Source organism: Homo sapiens, chromosome 3 (genome assembly GCF_000001405.40).
Source record: "Homo sapiens chromosome 3, GRCh38.p14 Primary Assembly".
Lineage (NCBI taxonomy): Eukaryota > Metazoa > Chordata > Mammalia > Primates > Hominidae > Homo > Homo sapiens.
This window is the reverse complement of record NC_000003.12, coordinates 95,653,973-95,674,893: the sequence shown is the minus strand read 5'-3', so window position 1 is coordinate 95,674,893 and position 20,921 is coordinate 95,653,973. Positions and strand designations below refer to the sequence as shown.

At 35.9% G+C, this 20,921-nt stretch overlaps 1 pseudogene across 1 annotated transcript in view; it reads left to right on the top strand.

The window, feature by feature from the left end:
* Positions 1-20,471, top strand: part of MTHFD2P1 (methylenetetrahydrofolate dehydrogenase (NADP+ dependent) 2, methenyltetrahydrofolate cyclohydrolase pseudogene 1) — a 28,771-nt pseudogene extending 8,300 nt beyond the window's left edge. The window contains exons 3-5 of the transcript NR_077228.1: positions 6,129-6,484; positions 11,554-11,650; positions 19,047-20,471. The product of NR_077228.1 is annotated as a methylenetetrahydrofolate dehydrogenase (NADP+ dependent) 2, methenyltetrahydrofolate cyclohydrolase pseudogene 1 (transcript). The remainder of the gene's footprint in view (positions 1-6,128; positions 6,485-11,553; positions 11,651-19,046) is intronic.
* The last annotated feature ends 450 nt before the right edge of the window (positions 20,472-20,921 follow it).

Genomic DNA, 20,921 nt, shown 5'->3' with positions numbered 1-20,921 from the left:
TTTCTGCTAGTTGCTAAGTCATAGCTAAATGGATCCTTTTAGAAACAAAATAGCATGTTTTTGACTCAACACATTTTTATGGTTTAAATGTGTCCCTCAAAGCTCAGGTGTTAGAAATGTATGCCCAATGCATGTTTAAGGTATAATTAGGTCATGAGAGTTCTGCCCTCATGAATGGATTAATACCATTATTGCAAGTGCAATTTAGCTATTGTGAGAATGGATTCCTGATAAAAAGCGTAAGTTCAGTCCCTTTTGTCTCTCTCTTTCTTGCCCTCTCTCACACTCTCACCTTCCACCATAGGATAAAGCATCAAGAAGGCCTCAGCAGATGCTAGTAGTGTGATATTAGACTGCCGAGCCTCCAGAATTGTGAGAAATAGTTTTTTTCTATAAATTACCCAGTCTATGGTATTCTGTTTTAGCAACACAAAATGTACTAAAGCAGAAAATTAGTACCAGAAGTGGGTTTATTGCTATAACAAATACCCAAAAAATGTGGAAGCACCTTTGGAACTGGGTATTGGGTACAGACTGGAAGAATTTGGATAAGCAGACTTAAAAAACTTAAATTGCTGTGAATTGAGTGTTAAAGGCATTTCTGGTGAGGGCCCAGAAGGAAAGAAGAGCTGCAGGGAAACTGAAATTTCCTAGAGGTTACTTAAATTGTTGAAATGAGAATGTTGGTAGAAATATGGACACTAAAGGCCAGTCTGATGAGGTCTCAAATGAAATTGAGAAACAAGATACTGGAAGTTAGAGTAGAGGCCACCCTTGTTACACAGTTGCAAAGAACTTGTCGGAATTGTGTTTCTGACTTAGGGCCTTATGCAAGGCAGAACTTAAGAGTGATGAGCTAAATTATCTTGTAGAAGAAGAAATATCTAAGCAGCAAAGGGTAGAAAGTGCTACATGGCTTCTTTAGGCCATTCACCGTAAAAGGAGAGAACAGAGGAATGATCTAAAGATGGAATTTATAATTAAAAAGGAAGCAGAAAGTAAAGATTTTGAAAATATTTAGGCTAGTCATGTAAAGAATGAAAAGGCATGTTTAGGAGAGGAAACCAAGGGTGTGGCCAAGTGACCCTTTGCTAAAGAGATTACGATTGGGTAGAAGGGAGCCAGGTAGTATTCATCAGGACAATGAGGTAAAACTCTCAAGGCATTTCAGAGATATTAGGCTGCCCCTTCCGAGGCTGGTCCAGAGCAGAACCTTGAAGGCAGTTTTCAGAGAGGAGCCTGTGGGACCTCAGGATTCACCATCCTGTGCTGCTTCAAACATTGGCTCACTGCATCGTGGTGGAGCACTTCTCAGCCCCCACCACTACCCATAGCTCAGTGGGCCTAGTTGCAGCTTGGCTCACCACACTGGAGGGCACAAACAGTAAGCCTTGGCAGCATCCATATGGTGCTGACTCTGCGGACACACGGAGTGCACAAGCTGTAGGGCTGTGGTGGCCTCCACCTGGATTTCAAAGAATGTATTGGACAGCCTTGGGGCCCAGGCAGGGCAGAAACTTGATGCAGGAACAGAGCCACCACAGAGAGCCCTCACTGGGGCAATGCCCAGCAGAACTGTGGGGTCAGGGATATTACATAAACTCTAGAACTGTAGAGCTATCAGCATAAAACTTCAGCCTGGGAGAGTTGCAAGCCTGAGATTCCAACCTGTGAGAGTTGTGGTGTAGCCTATGTCCAACAAAGACATACAAGTGTGGCTGCCTGAGACTTTGAAGGCCCACCCCCAGTCCAGCATGTCCAGCTATATGTCCAGGAGGAGGAACATAGAGTCAAGAAATATTATTCTGGAACTTTACAATTTAATGTTGTGCGTATTGTTGTTGTGTTTTGTACTTGGGACCTGTTACTCCTTTCTTCTGAATTATTTCTCCTTTTTTGAATACAAATGTCTATCCTATGCTTGTTACACCGTTGTATTTTGGGAATAGATAATTTGCTTTGATTTCACAGGCTTACCTCTGGAGGAAAATTTGCCTCAGGATGAATTGTGCTTTGAGATTCACTCATATCTGATTTAGATGAGACTCTGGACTTCGACTTTTTTGAGTTAATGCTTTAATAAATTAAGAATTTGGGGGTATTGGACTGGAATGAATGTATTTTGCATGTGAGAAGGACATAAATTTTCAGGGCCAAGGGTGGAATGCTGTGGTTTGAATATGTCCCCCAAAGTTCATGTGGTGGAAACTTAATCTACAGTGCAGGAGTGTTAACAGGTGAGACCTTTTAAGAAGTAATTTTAAGAAGTAATTAAGAAGGCAGAGCCTTCATGAATGTAATAATGCCATTGTTGTGGCAATGTGTTCCTGATTTTTAAAAATGAGTTTAGTTCCCCTTTTGTCTGTTTCTCTCATTCTTTTACCCTCTTAACATCTTAACATGGGATGATGCAGCATAAAGATTCTTGCCAGATCCTGGCACCTGGATACTGGGCTGCCTTTCTTTTAGAACCATAAGCAATAAGTTTCCTTTCTAAATAAATTACTCAGTCTGTGGTATTCTGTTCAGAAACACCACAAAAAGTGTTCACAAAACAAACTCATTAACCCAGGTATTTTCTGGACTCCTAATAGCATGGCCTTAAAATGTATAAATTTATATAAAAATGGACCCATAATAATACTTTGCTAAACGTTTTGTTATCTATTATCTATAGGTCAGAAAGTGTTTTATATTTAGTCTTCTCTGGATATTTGTAACATGGAGAAATGAATACAATTATTATTCTTTACAAATGGAAAAACTTGAAGTTGGTTTTCAGATGTTTAGTAATTTTTAAGGTTATTTTTGACAGATGACTTTTAGAAGAGCAGCAACTAAAGTAAGAGTAAATATCACTTAAATGTCAATTAGTGACAGATAATTAACCAGATGCTCCATGGGGAAAGCACATACAAATTACAATAATTTTTATAAGTTGCCCAACATACTTTAGAGATAAAACTTCAATGAATTACATATGTTCTCAAAATTCTATGAGGGTAACAAAATGAAATGCAAAGATATTAAAAATATATTGAAAACTATTAGTGCAAGTTTTCTTCAAATATAACTGATAACTTTAAATTTGTAATTAACTTACTGACACGTACAACAATTATTGTTAGTTGTGCTTGAACATTATGGCTATGATGCTTTTTTATGTTCTGGTGTCGCATGGAAACAGTCTAATTAATTAATTTATTTTACTTATTCTGATAGCTCTTGCTTTCTAGTAAAATGTTAGCAAATAGTTGATATTGGCTTTTTGAAATCACATTGTTAGGTACCTGCCTCCTATAAAAAGCAAATAGAAAACTCTTCTATTCTTAAAAGTCATCATGATATCAGAATCATATATTACTCTTCTAAATAATAGATACATATTTCTGAATAATTTTATGTTAAATTACATAAAGACGGGACTTATTACATCTAATGCGATATCTCAGTCACAGGTTAAACATCACAAAAATTATTTCTTGATAAATTAAGCAGCTTTAAATCTTCTGTCATCACAATTCAAGGAGACTTACCTTCTAAGAAAAGCACACATTCAATCCAAAGTCATTGCGTGACTAGTTCTCCCTCGGGTAATGCAATGCCCAACGAAATGTTAAATACACTAGCGTGTCATGGTAGCAAGTAGGACTAGAAAAAAAAATCGTAGTTAAAAGGCAGTAACAGTGTTGTAAACATCAACACCTTTAGGTTTCTCAAAGGTAAAAGACTTGCTGTCATAATCAATAATAACTGTGAGCACATATGGCTCCACTAAAATGGCATCAATAGGAATAAAATTAATAATACAGAGACAACAGTAAAAGAAATAAAATTGGACTTTTCACCAATTATACAAAGTCCACTGATTCTGCATAAATAATCGCAAGCAGTTTTTCGGCATACTCTTACTACAGATTGCATCACTCAGCTATGACCTTTTAATGAAATTGAGATAAAATTGCAAAGCAGACATTTAACTTATTTCAAAGACACAATTGCATTTTCTTTAAGAAAAAAATAAAACTCCTAGTCAGTATTGTTGTAAAGTCATTTTACCCTTAGCATTTACCAGGTTATGCTATATTTTGAAATATTAATACATCGGGAAGGCAGTAGACTACAGTAGACTGCTTTTGTACAATTTTCAGTCCCACCACTTACTAGCTGTGTGAACATGGACAAAGGAAGGGAGTGTTCTAACCTTCGTGTCCTCATTTGCCAAATGAGGATAATAATGGTATGACTCTGGTAGAACATGGGTGAAGATTGACTGGAATTTGGTAGCATGATACCAGGAAATGATAAAAATTTATAAAGAGTGTCTGTCACAAAGGGCTTCTTTTATTTTATGTGGAAAAAACAGGTATATATTACATAAGCACAAACTTACTTGTTTAGGTTATTATTTTTGCTTTATTGTGTGCATTTCCTTCTGGCCACTCTGCTTCCCTGTTTCCCCAGGCAGTATAGAATAACAGTAGAATCCACCATAATCTCTTATTGACATATATCTGTAGAGTTTTATATTCCTGTACACCCATATATACATTACTTTTTTAAGTTTTACAAAAACAAACTGTTGTTTGCAATATGCTATTTTTTCAAAGATAATTTCTATAAATTATTCCAAGTCCTCTGAGGTAGCTCTTACACCTTTTTGAATGACTGCATAATATTTTCTAGAATATACATAATTAGTCCTTTATTGAAGACTGAGCATTCGCTTGGTTTTAAGGTGATTTCCCTATTACAAAATTATATACTAAAATGTTTAAATGTCAATAAGTTATGCCTTTATTTTTATGGGTTATAATATCAGGTTTGGAATTTCTGTGTTGAAATGCACATGCTTATTTGAGTTTAGAGACTGTACTAGAATACGAGCTCTGCAAAGAGCTTTGTTGCCATCCAATAATATGTCCCAAGGATCTAGAAGAGTGCTTAGAATATTTTATTGTTCAACAATGTATCCAAAATGCTTAGATATGTGACTACAATTTATTAAGCTCAATTTGTATTTCTCGAATAAATGAACAAAAGGATATAATAGTTCATATTTTTTAGACCAATGTGTCATTTTCTCTACATCCCAATCACCAGTAGATTCTGTAACTAAATATTCTGTAATTAAATATTATAATTTTTTAATGAATCTGAAAGGAAGAGAATCTACCTTATTGTATTTAATTTAGATTTTCATAATGTATTTTATCATCTCATTTCTTTGATAATTTGGGTTGCTCTTTTGTGAGTTATCAATTAAAATCCTATCTGTTGTTTTATTTTTTCTTAATTTGTAAGAGATCTCTGTATTACTATAGAAATGGACTCTTTAATCTTTCTTCTGCTTTATAAATATATTTCAGATCTATCATATATTTACTTTGTTTATCATACCGTATATTTTCTTTGCTATTCTTTGCTAAGTAAATGTTTTGTTAATATTATAAATTCTGAAGCACACTGAGTGAAAATGTTACATATAGAGTTCATATTTTTCTTCAGGATATTTTACTATTTTAATATTAAGTCTTTTGTCTGTTTTATAAGACATAAAATAATATAAACTTCTTTATTTTCTTACAGATAAATAGCCTCTTATATAAAATACTCTTTAATAACTAATCTTGATTTTTCTCTTAGAAGGTAACTACTTTAGTCATAGCTGTAGTCTGATAAATATAAATATAAAATGGGATCTAAGTACAAACTCTTTATTTGGTTCCATGGATTGTTTTTCTATATCTGTACCAATATGATTAAATTAGTATGGCATTATAGATTTTTCTGATACTAGGAAATCTCGTCACCCATTATTATTTATCTTTGCAGAAGATTCCTTATGTATCTAGTATTCATTTATTCATATGAAATTTAAGACAATTTCATCCTACTTCATGTTTCACCTCCCAAACAATCCTATGTTGGCATTCTAGTAATAATTACATTACATTTTTATACCTCCTGGAACATAAGGAATATTCTACAATGGATGTATTGACATTTTTTCCTAAACTTAAGAATTTTTCAGTGGTGAACATTTCTATTAGCTAACTAACTTAAACCACTAAACCCTTATAAAAAATCCATACTTATTTAAGTTCTCCTTAAATTATTTACCTTAGAAATTCAACCCCAGGCCTGGCACAGTGGCTCACACCTGTAATCACAGCACTTTGGGAGGCCAAGGCAGGTGGATCATGATGTCAAGAGATCGAAACAATCCTGGCCAACATGGTGAAACCACGTTCCTGCTAAAAATACAAAAATTAGCTGGGCTTGGTGGTGTGAGCCTGTAGTCCCAGCTACTCGAGAGGCTGAGGCTGGAGAATCGCTTGAACCCGGGAGGCAGAGGTTGCAGTGAGCTGAGATCGCACCATTGCACTCCAGCCTGGCGACCGAGCGGGACTCCGTCTCAAAAAAAAAAAAAAAAAAAAAACAAAAAAAGAAAGAAATGTAACTCCAGCCTCTGATGAAAAACGTAAGTTCTTACTAGAATAAAATTAACAATTTCAATTAGTTTTCTTCACTGGATTCAACATCTCTAGCTAGCAACATAACTTCAACTAATTTAACCAGTCATTGTTAAATATGAGTTATTAATATACTTAAATTTTTATGCAAGTCTTATTTGCTCCTCACAATAAAATGACTTTTTTGTGTGTGTTATATCTTTGGTTCTGATTTTCTGGATTTTCTGAAGCAAATAGATTTGTCAGCTTCATTTTATTGGCTGAAAAACTACTTGAACAGATTGTACATAAAGTTAAGAGTCATGTGGAAATACTTTATATTTTAATTGTATAATTTAATACAATAATAAATAAAAGTTGAGAAAAAGATGTAGCATGATCTTGTACTATTCTTTTAATTTTATTCTAAATTTACATTTTTGGAATTAATAGTTTCCAATTGAACTATAGTTAAATTACCATCTAAAATTTTATTTTTACACATTGAAATTTTTAAGGGCCAATGGACCTACAATCCACATAAATGTAAACCTATTAATTGATCTAGCTATCTATCCATACTTTCACTTTTAAAGACACTCAATAATGGTGATAACATTGAATTTGAATTAATAAATATTAGCCTGCTCTGTCTCAAATGGTCTCTTTTCATATTATTAGCTTTGTTTCAGATATACTGCATTTACTAGTTTACGTATCTTCTCCATTTTTGGTATTTCTTTAGATACCTTCTGCTACAATTGCACATAAAAAGAAATAAAAGATGTCAGAAGAATAAAAACACATAGTAAAGTTCATGTGTTTAAAATTGAGTGGTATCATCACTGGAAAAACATAAGATTCATAGACTACAAAGATGTTACTGTTGTCACTAAAACAATGTGGTTTTATCTATCTAAACTCATTTCCTTAACCCTCAAAATATCTAGCTGTGCTTTATTTTACTTACCCATAGTTTGATAGTAAAACCCCAGAATTGAATAGATATTTCTGAGACTTCTAGGATTGTGATTTTTTAAATTCATTATTTGTTATATAAGCATTTATTGAAAATAAGCAGTGTGCTTCTTTTGGAAATATAATGGTGATCAAATCATAGAAAACCATATAGCATAAAATCTAGAGGATTAAGCAGAAAAATGTATTTAATGGAAGAAGTAAACATTGTTACCATCCCATATGGAAGAGAAACCACATCTGGGGCGGTGATCAGGAACCTCCCTACAGGGAAATAAGAAGTAGAACAAGTTTAGGTATTGATCAGGAATGTTGAAGGATGGGAGAGAAAATGGCTTTACCTTCTCTCTCTTTCAAGAAGAAAGAATTAGTAAATGCTGATGATAAAGAGGAAATATCAGATAAACTGAAACAGTATGACAAATATAAACAGCAAACTGAAGTAATACGTGTAAAGTGAAAAATAATCCATGTAGCCTAAAATGATAAACTGAGCAAATGGTACAGAGGCATTTTGATTCTATCATAAAAGCAGTGTGATATCATTGGTAGAACAGATATGGTCAGGCTTGTATGAGTCACACCTCTCAGTTAACAGTGTGGAAAAAGGATTAGAAATAGTAAGAGTGGAATATGTGCTGTGAAATATAGAGAAAGCATAAAAGCGTATCTTTTTTTATAAGCTCCCCCATATGTATGTATGTATGTATGTGCATTTGTGTATATATATCCTATATATATTTCTTATTTTAGTCTACCTATGGAATGGTATATTGCTTATTGTAATCTATAGAAAAATGATACCAAATATACAACCTCTTCAAATTGTGCAACACAATTGTTTCGTTAATAAGTTCCACTTTGTTTTTTTCAAAGCATGCAGTTTTGGGATTTAAACACCCAGGAAAGTCATCTTGCCAATTAAACTTGATTTTGTCCTAAATTCACGGTTATAATTAATCCATTAGCCATCACTCATGCCAAGCAGCAGTCAGTGGATAGAAAGCAGAAAAATTATGTCAAATACATTAATTTCTAAATTCCATGAAGTTGTTTAATGCTACAGTTACTTTCTCAAAAACACTTTGACATTTTGACAAATTTGTGGAATGATCTCTATTTCTCTTGCAAACAAAATGCATTTTACTCCAATAATTGATCATTTCACTCTAAATGATGATCAGTTCTGGTTGAATAAATGCAGTTATTTGACATCTGCCAACACTAATATTTTTCTTCCAGTTTTATCTTTACATCTTCTAGTCCAGCTATGGACTTTTTAATCTTCTTAAAAATAATACCTCATAATTAAAATAAGTTTAGTTGCCATATATTGTTTGCTATATATTCTTTTAATGGTCTTTAAATGCATTGTCTCTTTTAGGCAATTCATTTCTAGAAACTTGAATTGAAGCCTTACACGTTCTTTTTTTCATTTACATAACTGAATAGCTTAGTAAGTGTTGTTTTTTACATTTTGTCTCATTCCTTCCTATTGTATCTGGGTTGCTTATCTACCTAGTGCCATCCTTGACTTTTTAAATTCATCTCTTTTATACTATTGCAGATTTTGAAAATAATGTATTCTTGTTAACACCTATCCACAGTTTGTGAGACATATAAAAGTTAAGCTCTCCTTTAAAAAGTTTGTTTTATACAAAAGTATGAGACGCTGCAGTCTTGCTGTACTTTCATACTCATTTGGATATTTTTATATCCAAGTCCTCTCATGAGCTCTTATATATATAACTTAATACTATCACAAAGTCATTTATATCAAATTTTCCAGGCAATTTTTAAACAATTTGTTTTATAAAGAAAAGACTGAAACTCCAGGAATGGAAAGGAGTGTAGACTGAGAGAATGGTTGCAGGGTGGCCATGGTGGAATAGTTTTGGAACATCGTTAGAGCGGAAATTCTGTGTTGTAAATGCAAAATTACTCCCTGATACATAGCACATAAGATCTTTAGTCAAATGGATACTTTTCATAAATGTTAATTTTCCCTTAAAGAGTGCAATATATTTCCTAAATATAGCCTTATCAGGTAATCATTGTGTGAATAGAAGTGAAAATATACAAACTAGATGAAGTCGAAGGCTACCATTCAAGTATTTACTAAGAGAGGACTTTGCTTATTGCAACTATCCAAACTACTTGACTTTTATTAGTTTAAACAAGTAAATTTTATGAACTGGTTTTATCATAAATTTAGGCAAGCAGAACACTTTTCTCAACCTCTCTGCCATCAGTCTGCTATTTAAAATCTGCAAATACAGAGAATCAATTCAATGGGAAGGCACCTAACTGTTGTATTAAAATCCTCTGTTTGTGTCTTAAAATTTGAACTAGTATTTAGTATTGAGAACACGTAGACTATATAAAATAAGATGTTCACATATTATTTGTATTGAAATATGAAGTTTCTCAATATTTCACTTCTAAAAAAATGATCAGGGAACTGTTTTTACATTTTCAGTCTTTGTTAGTGACTTATTCTCTTGGAAAGCTCTTAAGGTTGTAATAATATAATTGTCATCTTATTAAGTTGATTTCCTAGAACGAGCCACCTCACTTTAGCAGCTACATTTGTATTTTCTAGATACTAAGTCTCAATATTTGCAGTTGGTTTTGTATACAAAATATTACATTTTGGAAAGAAATGAATGTGATCCCTTCAGTCAGTATAATGACTATAGTGTCATCTTACATGACTCACATACCTAGCCTTGGATTTACTTTCCAAATCAATTCCAAATCCAAGCTTTGACTGGATTTTCCAAAATAATAAACCCATCTTATGGTGTATCTGTCTCCAAAGAATTTTTCTATGCATTTTGATGTGCTTTGTGTCAATGGATTTTTAGAACATATGCCAATATATATACTTTATCATCTCCGAAAGTGACTAAGCAAAGCAAAGACTGAGTCTGATATCAAACATGTGAAAATAACTGTATTTGATTATAAAACAAATGAAAAAGAATTTAAAAAGTGACTCTAGTGAGTAGGGCAACATAACTTGGCAATCATCTCTATTTAATTTATAAAATGATATCTTGCATGTCTACTTATGTGTATCATTACTCTAAAGCTGTGTTGTTCAATATATTAGTCACTAGGTGTAAGTTGATATTGAGCACATGAAATGTAGCCAGTTCAATGGAAAAATGGAATTTTCAATTTATATTATTGAATTGACTATTTAAATTTGAAAACAAATTGTGTAAAATAAGTTTTTGATTAAACACAAGTTTATTGGTTTGGTATAGCTACATTTCACTTTGATCATTGCATTCTGCCAGATTTTATAGTTGTAGTTCATGTGGCAGATGCATAAGCAGTTTCTGGTATTACACATAAATACATCACTCTTCTAGAAAATGTCATTGTATTGTTTCAGTTTAAATGAATCTTTTCAACACAATGATTTAATGTTGTAATGTGTGTATTTGAACATTTCACATAGCAGATTAGAGTGATATCTATGTAAATTCTCAGATTTTGATAATGCAATTGTAAGTACTAAGTACTTTAAAGTGTTTCTTATACTTATTTTCTTTCAAATTAAATTATTTTTCTCATTGAAGTAAAAAAGTATGGTCACATTTATAAATTTAAAACAAACCTTATTTCTGCTACAGAATTGAGTGGGGATACAGAAGCTAGTACAGATTGAGCATCCCTAATCTAAAAATGTGAAATCTAAAATTCTCCAAAATCTGAAGTTTTTGAATGCCAACATAACACCACGAGTGGAAAATTCCACACCTGACACGTTATTTTTCCACTGTCTTAATGGCATGTCATATTTCTTACTGTTAAGTACTTATGTCTGAATATGTATAAGAAAATAATTGCTTATCTATAGCATAAAAATTCAGTCAGGAATGATGGGGATGTCAAATAACCAGAAGTGATCCAGATCGGTAGCTGAGATAGACACTTTTGCTTTCTCATGTTTTAATGTATGCAACTTTGTTTCATGCACAAAATTATTTTTAACTTATTTTTAAATAGTGTTTAAATAAAATTCTATTCAGGCTCTGTGTGTAAGGTTTTAGGTGAAGTGGTGGTTAAATAAATTATTATACCTGAAATAAGTTATTATTTCAGGTAGGGATCGGAACCAAGATGGCCAAATAGGAACAGCTCCGGTCTACAGCTCTCAGCATGAGGGACGCAGAAGACAGGTGATTTCTGCATTTCCATCTGAGGTACCGGGTTCATCTCACTAGGGAGTGCCAGACATTGGGCGTGGGTCAGTGGGTGCGTGCATCGTGCGTGAGCCAAAGCAGGGCGAGGCATTGCCTCACTTGGGAAGTGCAAGGGGTCAGGGAGTTCCCTTTCCTAGTCAAAGAAAGGGGCGACAGACGGCACCTGGAAAATTGGGTCACTTCCACCCGAATACTGTGCTTTTCTGATGGGCTTAAAAAACGGCGCATCAGGAGATTATATCCCACACCTGGCTCGTAGGATGCTACGCCCATGGAGTCTCACTGATTGCTAGCACAGCAGTCTGAGATCAAACTGCAAGGTGGCAGCGAGGCTGCGGGAGGGGTGCCTGCCATTGCCCAGGCTTGCTTAGATAAACAAAGCAGCTGGGAAGCTCGAACTGGGTGGAGCCCACCACAGCTCAAGGAGGCCTGCCTGCCTCTGTAGGCTCCACCTCTGGGGGCAGGGCACACACAAACAAAAAGACAGCAGTATCCTCTGCAGACTTAAATGTCCCTGTCTGACAGCTTTGAAGAGAGCAGTGGTTCTCCCAGCATGCAGCTGGAGATCTGAGAATGGGAAGACTGACTCCTCAAGTGGGTCCCTGACCCCTGACACATGAGCAGCCTAACTGGGAGGCACCCCCCAGCAGGGGCAGACTGACACCTCACACAGCCGGGTACTCCAACAGACCTGCAACTGAGGGTCCTGTCTGTTAGAAGGAAAACTAACAAACAGAAAGGACATCCACACCAAAAACCCATCTCTACATCACCATCATCAAAGACCAAAAGTAGATAAAACCACAAAGATGGGGAAAAAACAGAGCAGAAAAACTGAAAACTCTAAAAAGCAGAGCGCCTCTCCTCCTCCAAAGGAACGCAGTTCCTCACCAGCAACGGAACAAAGGTGGACGGAGAATGACTTTGACGAGCTGAGAGAAGAAGGCTTCAGACGATCAAATTACTCCGAGCTATGGGAGGACATTCAAACCAAAGGCAAAGAAATTGAAAACTTTGAAAAATATTTAGAAGAATGTGTAACTAGAATAACCAATACAGAGAAGTGCTTAAAGGAGCTGTTGGAGCTGAAAACCAAGGCTGGAGAACTACGTGAAGAATGCAGAAGCCTCAGGAGCCAATGCAATCAACTAGAAGAAAGGGTATCAGCGATGGAAGATGAAATGAATGAAATGAAGTGAGAAGGGAAGTTTAGAGAAAAAAGAATAAAAAGAAACGAGCAAAGCCTCCAAGAAATATGGGACTATGTGAAAAGACCAAATCTACGTCTGATTGGTGTACCTGAAAGTGACGGGGAGAATGGAACCAAGTTGGAAAACACTCTGCAGGATATTATCCAGGAGAACTTCCCCAATCTAGCAAGGCAGGCCAACATTCAGATTCAGGAAATACAGAGAACGCCACAAAGATACTCCTCGAGAAGAGCAACTCCAAGACACATAATTGTCAGATTCACCAAAGTTGAAATGAAGGAAAAAATGTTAAGGGCAGCCAGAGAGAAAGGTCGGGTTACCCTCAAAGGGAAGCCCATCAGACTAACAGCGGATCTCTCGGCAGAAACCCTACAAGCCAGAAGAGACTGGGAGCCAATATTCAACATTCTTAAAGGAAAGAATTTTCAACCCAGAATTTCATATCCAGCCAAACTAAGCTTCATAAGTGAAGGAGAAATAAAATACTTTAGAGACAAGCAAATGCTGAGAGATTTTGTCACCACCAGGCCTGCCGTAAAAGAGCTCCTGAAGGAAGCGCTAAACATGGAAAGGAACAACCGGTACCAGCCGCTGCAAAATCATAGCAAAATGTAAAGACCATCAAGACTAGGAAGAAACTGCATCAACTAATGAGCAAAATAACCAGCTAACATCATAATGACAGGATCAAATTCACACATAATAATATTAACTTTAAATGTAAATGGACTAAATGCTCCAATTAAAAGACACAGACTGGCAAATTGGATAAAGAGTCAAGACCCATCAGTGTGCTATATTCAGGAAACCCATCTCACGTGCAGAGACACACATAGGCTCAAAATAAAAGGATGGAGGAAGATCTACCTAGCCAATGGAAAACAAAAAAAGGCAGGGGTTGCAATCCTAGTCCCCAATAAAACAGACTTTAAACCAACAAAGATCAAAAGAGACAAAGAAGGCCATTACATAATGGTAAAGGGATCAATTCAACAAGAAGAGCTAACTATCCTAAATATATATGCACCCAATACAGGAGCACCCAGATTCATAAAGCAAGTCCTGAGTGACCTACAAAGAGACTCAGACTCCCACACATTAATAATGGGAGACTTTAACACCCCACTGTCAACATTAGACAGATCAACGAGACTGAAAGTCAATAAGGATACCTAGGAATTGAACTCAGCTCTGCACCAAGCGGACCTAATAGACATCTACAGAACTCTCCACCCCAAATCAACAGAATATACATTTTTTTCAGCACCACACCACACCACACCAATTCCAAAATTGACCACATACTTGGAAGTAAAGCTCTCCTCAGTAAATGTAAAAGGACAGAAATTATAACAAACTATCTCTCAGACCACAGTGCAATCAAACTAGAACTCATGATTAAGAATCTCACTCAAAACCGCTCAACTACATGGAAACTGAACAACCTGCTCCTGAATGACTACTGGGTACATAACGAAATGAAGGCAGAAATAAAGATGTTCTTTGAAACCAATGAGAACAAAGACACAACATACCAGAATCTCTGGGATGCCTTCAAAGCAGTGTGTAGAGGGAAATTTATAGCACTAAATGCCCACAAGAGAAAGCAGGAAAGATCCAAAATTGACACCCTAGCATCACAATTAAAAGAACTAGAAAACCAAGAGCAAACACATTCAAAAGCTAGCAGAAGGCAAGAAGTAACTAAAATCAGAGCAGAACTGAAGGAAATAGAGACACAAAAAACCCTTCAAAAAATTAATGAAGCCAGGAACTGGTTTTTTGAAAGGATCAACAAAATTGATAGACTGCTAGCAAGACTAATGAAGAAAAAAAGAGAGAAGAATCAAATAGATGCAAGAAAAAATGATAAAGGGGATATCACTACCGATCCCACAGAAATACAAACTACCATCAGAGAATACTACAAAAACTTCTATGCAAATAAACTAGAAAATCTAGAAGAAATGGATAAATTCCTTGACAAATACACTTTCCCAAGACTAAACCAGGAAGAAGTTGAATCTCTGAATAGACCAAAAACAGGATCTGAAATTGTGGCAATAGTCAATAGCTTACCAACCAAAAAGAGTCCAGGACCAGATGGATTCACAGCCGAATTCTACCAGAGGTACAAGGAGGAACTGGTACCATTCCTTCTGAAACTATTCCAAGCAATAGAAAAAGAGGGAATCCTCCCTAACTCATTTTATGAGGCCAGCATCATTCTGATACCAAAGCCGGGCAGAGACACAACCAAAAAAGAGAATTTTAGACCAATATCCTTGATGAACATTGATGCAAAAATCCTCAATAAAATACTGGCAAACCAAATCCAGCAGCACATCAAAAAGCTTATCCACCATGATCAAGTGGGCTTCATCCCTGGGATGCAAGGCTGGTTCAATATATGCAAGTCAATAAATGTAATCCAGCATATAAACAGAACCAAAGACAAAAACCACATGATTATCTCAATAGATGCAGAAAAGGCCTTTGACAAAATTCAACAACCCTTCATGCTAAAAACTCTCAATAAATTAGGTATTGATGGGATGTATTTCAAAATAATAAGAGCTATTTATGACAAACCCACAGCCAATATCATACTGAATGGTCAAAAACTGGAATCATTGCCTTTGAAAACTGGCACAAGACAGGGATGCCCTCTCTCACCACTCCTATTCAACATAGTGTTGGAAGTTCTGGCCATGGCAATTAGGCAGGAGAAGGAAATAAAGGGTATTCAACTAGGAAAAGAGGAAGTCAAATTGTCCCTGTTTGCAGACGACATGATTGTATATCTAGAAAACCCCATTGTCTCAGACCAAAATCTCCTTAAGCTGATAAGCAACTTCAGCAAAGTCTCAGGATACAAAATCAATGTACAAAAATCACAAGCATTCTTATACACTAACAACAGACAAACAGAGAGCCAAATCATGGGTAAACTCCCATTCACAATTGCTTCAAAGAGAATAAAATACCTAGGAATCCAACTTACAAGGGATGTGAAGGACCTCTTCAAGGAGAACTGCAAACCACTGCTCAAGGAAATAAAAGAGGATACAAACAAATGGAAGAACATTCCATGCTCATGGGTAGGAAGAATCAATATTATGAAAATGGCCATACTGCCCAAGGTAATTTACAGATTCAATGCCATCCCCATCAAGCTACCAATGACTTTCTTCACAGAATTGGAAAAACTACTTTAAAGTTCATATGGAACCAAAAAAGAGCCAGCATCGCTAAGTCAATACTAAGCCGAAAGAACAAAGCTGGAGGCATCACACTACCTGACTTCAAACTATACTACAAGGCTACAGTAACAAAAACAGCATGGTACTGGTACCAAAACAGAAATATAGATCAATGGAACAGAACAGAGCCCTCAGAAATAATGCCGCATATCTACAACTATCTGATCTTTGAAAAACCTGAGAAAAACAAGCAATGGGGAAAGGATTCCCTATTTAATAAATGGTGTTGGGAAAACAGGCTAGCCATATGTAGAAAGCTGAAACTGGATCCCTTCCTTACACCTTATACAAAAATCAATTCAAGATGGATTAAAGACTTAAACATTAGACCTAAACCCATAAAAACCCTAGAAGAAAACCTAGGCAATACCCTTCAGGACATAAGCATGGGCAAGGACTTCATGTCTAAAACACCAAAAGCAATGGCAACGAAAGCCAAAATTGACAAATGGGATCTAATTAAACTAAAGAGCTTCTGCACAGCAAAAGAAACTACCAGCAGAGTGAACAGGCAACCTACAAAATGGGAGAAAATTTTCACAACCTGCTCATCTGACAAAGGGCTAATATCCATAATCTACAATGAACTCAAACAAATATACAAGAAAAAAACAAACAACCCCATCAAAAAGTGGGCGAAGGACATGAACAGACACTTCTCAAAAGAAGACATTTATGCAGCCAAAAAACACATGAAAAATGCTCATCATCACTGGCCATCAGAGAAATGCAAATCAAAACCACAACGAGATACCATCTCACACCAATTAGAATGGCAATCATTAAAAAGTCAGGAAACAACAGGTGCTGGAGAGGATGTGGAGAAATAGGAACAGTTTTACACTGTTGGTGGGACTGTAAACTAGTTCAACCATTGTGGAAGTCAGTGTGGCGATTCCTCAGGGATCTAGAACTAGAAATACAAATTGACCCAGCCATCCCATTACTGGGTATATACCCAAAGGACTGTAAATCATGCTGCTATAAAGACACATGCACATGTATGTTTATTGTGGCATTATTCACAATAGCAAAGACTTGGAACCAACCCAAATGTCCAACAATGATAGACTGGATTAAGAAAATGTGGCACATATACACCATGGAATACTAAGCAGCCACAGAAAATGATGAGTTCATGTCCTTTGTAGGGACATGTATGAAATTGGAAATCATCATTCTCAGTAAACTATCGCAAGAACAAAAAACCAAACACAGAATATTCTCACTCATAGGTGGGAATTGAACAATGAGAACACATGGACACGGGAAGGGGAACATCACACTCTGGGGACTGTTGTGGGGTGGGGGGAGGGGGAAGGGATAGCATTGGGAGATATACCTAATGGTAGATGACGAGTTAGTGGGTGCAGCGCACCAGCATGGCACAGGTATACATATGTAACTAACCTGCACAATGTGCACATGTACCCTAACACTTAAAGTGTAATAATAATAATAAAAAAATTGTTATTATTTCAGGTGTGGAAAACTTTTCAAACTTTTCAAAAACTTATCAGGAAAAGACCAGAAAATAATATTTTACAAAACAAAAGGTCTCAAAAAGCTATCAAACAATTGTCTATAGTATACAAGATCTTTCTACTAATATCAAAAATCAATTGATTCGAATATTGAAATAATATAAGTATTTTTCTTTAGCCTAAAATGAAACATGAAATAAAAAGCACTCTTCAATTAATACATCGGTTATGTTTTATTTCAATTTTTGCAAAGAAATGCTGTCAATTTGTGGCTTATTCAACTTTTGTCATATATTATGTCATTCACATATGTCAAAGAAGATAATCTGCTAGATATAAAGATGTTATTTTCTATCACAACGGTTGGTCCTCAGCTCCAACTAGACAAAATTTTCTATTAATTAGAATTCTAAAACAGACTGCATTCCTCTTCACATTTTGTTCTGCTATTAGAAACACACTGAAAATATCCATACATTTTCTGATCAAACTTAATGAAAAGTTTCATGGATGTTCAGTTGTTAAAACCATTTAATATGTGTATGCAAGTGTATAAATCATCAACAGGTTATGCAAATTTTGAAAGAAAAAGAAGGCAGTCAATTAACATTTTTGGGGTTCTTTTTGAGACAGAGTCTCACTCTGTCACCCAGGCTGGAGTGCAGTGGGGCAATCTCAGTTTTCTGCAATCTCTGCCTCCCAGTTTAAGCGATTATCTTGCCTCAGCCACCCTAGTAGTTAGGATTACAGGCATGTGCCACCATGCCCGGCTAATTTTTGTATTTTTGGTAGAGATGGGGTTTCACCATATTGGCCAGGCTGGCCTCGAACTCCTGGCCTCAAGTGATCCACCCTTCTCAGCCTCTCAGAGTGCTGGGATTACAGGCCTGAGCCATCGTGCCCAGCCAATTAACTTAATGATACTGTGTTCTCTACCAATGATTGTTGTTTGAATGGCAAAAAGTTTCACACAGATTTTCTGTACTGTAATTTCCAATTAAATATTTCCTTGAAACAAGAGAAATGCATGCCAATATTCGATAGTTAAGACCCCCCGAAATTCAAGTGATTTATGCTTTCTCACCAATATCACAATATATGTTAACTAATATGAAGCTAAATTTAGTAGAAATTGAAATTTTTCACAATACAAATCTATGATAATAACATATTCCTCTAACAGGATAAATATGTAGAAGGTGTTTATTGTAATTGACAGTGTCATGTAAATTGGCTGCAAAACTACTTTTTTTCTAAGAAAACTTTGAGGAATGCTTTGCTGATATTAATAAACAGTTGATTTTAATTTATCAAATGCCTATTTAAATTTAATGTTAATGCTACTGAGTTGACACAGTCAGTAGATTGATTTAACTTAGGAAGCGGTATTTTTGGAACTGTTACACATTTGCCTCTAAGTTAAATTTCCTCCTTCCAGGCATAGGCTATGGCTGTGGCTTCCCTCATGTCTGCGTTGGCTGCCCAACTGCTCTGTCCCCCGCAGAGCTGCCGCCCGCGCTCTCGCACCTTCCACAGCACGGCATTTTGGAATCACCAGTGAGACAATTGTGAAACCAGCTTCAATTTCTGAGGAAGAATTGTTGAAGTTAATAAATAAACTGAGTAATGTTGATAATTAGATAATTAGATGGCCACCTTGTTCAGCTGCCTCTTCCAGAGCACACTGATGAGAGAAAGATCTGCAATGCTTTTTCTCCAGACAAGGATGTTGATGGCTTTCCTGTAATGAATGTAGGACGAAAGTGTTTGGACCAATATTCCATGTTACCGGCTACCCCATGGGGTGTGTGGGAAATAATTAAGCGAACTGACATTCCAACCCTAGGGAAGAATGTGGTTGTGACTGGAAGGTCAAAAATTGTTGGAATGCCCATTGTAATGTCACTGCACATACGTGGGGTGCATGAACGTCCCAGAGATGATGCCACCGTTAGAATATCTCATGGATATACTCCCAAAGAGCAGTTGAAGAAACAAAATATTTGCAGATATTGTAACATCCGCTGCACGAATTCTAAACCTGTTCACAATAGATATAATCAAGGAAAGAACAGCAGTTGTTGATGTGGGAATAACTAGAGTTCAAGATCCCGTAACTGCTCAACCCAAATTGGTTGGAGACGTGGGTTTTGAAGGAGTCAGATAAAAAGCCGGTTACATCATGCCACTTCCTGGAGGTGTTGGCCTCATGACGGTGGCGATGCTAATGAAGAATACCATTACTGTTGCAAAAAAGTTCTGAGGCTTGAAGAACAGTAAGTGCTGACGTCTAAAGAGCTTGGAGTAGCCACTAATGAACTATTGTGTCTTCTATGTCACAAACAGCACTCCAAGCCAGCTCAAGAAGCAAAGCAGGCCAATAGAAAGACAATATTTTTTATTTATTCTACTGAAGTGGTTTAAAATGATGCTTTGTATTTATTGAAAGCTTAAATTGGAGGGTGTTTGTGCACAATAGCTCTGCAGTACCTCACCAGGGAGCATTCCACTATGCAGGGGCGTGTATCTAGCTAACAGCAGCCATTAACCCAGTGATGAACCTGGGAGACATTTGTCATATTGAGATGGATATTTAACTCTGTCAAACCACCTCGGTTGAATATTTGCCTTCATTAGGACTGCGTTTCCCAAATGCTATTTCAATAAGAGTTGATACTCATTTTAGGCACCAAAACTTTTGGATTCAACTGATCAAACCAAAGGAAAAGTGTTGCTAGACAAAATTAGGGAAAAGGTGAAAGAGGAAAATATGGTAGTAATCGAGTAGAAAAAAATTCCTCTAATTTATATATGCATTGATTAGTAACCAGATTTATCTAAGTAGGACTGAATTGGCTAGGATAAAAAGAAAAAATACGTATTAATCCTTTTCCTAAGCTGTCTTTTTGAGGCTTAGTCAGTCATTGGGAAAATGTTTAAGATTGTTCCTTGATATTTGTCCTCATTTTATGTATGCTACCCTTCAGTACGTTCTCCCCATTTTAGATTTCTAGGATTGAAAGGCTTACTTTATAAATTAGTCATGTGTATTGTCATATTTGGCTTTGCTATATACTTTAATTTCATTGTTAAAATTTTGTACTGTTAGGGAATATCTGTATAGTTTATTTAATTTATGTTAAAACCTATTTTTGAAAAACAAACTTGCCTTGATAATCATTTGGGCAGCTTGGATAAGTATGCAACTTACTTTCCACCAAAGAATTGCCAGCTTTTCTGAGATGTATCCTGTTGATTTTTTCAGAATTTTTTTTTCTTTTTTGAGAAGGAGTCTTGCTCTGTTGCCAGGTTG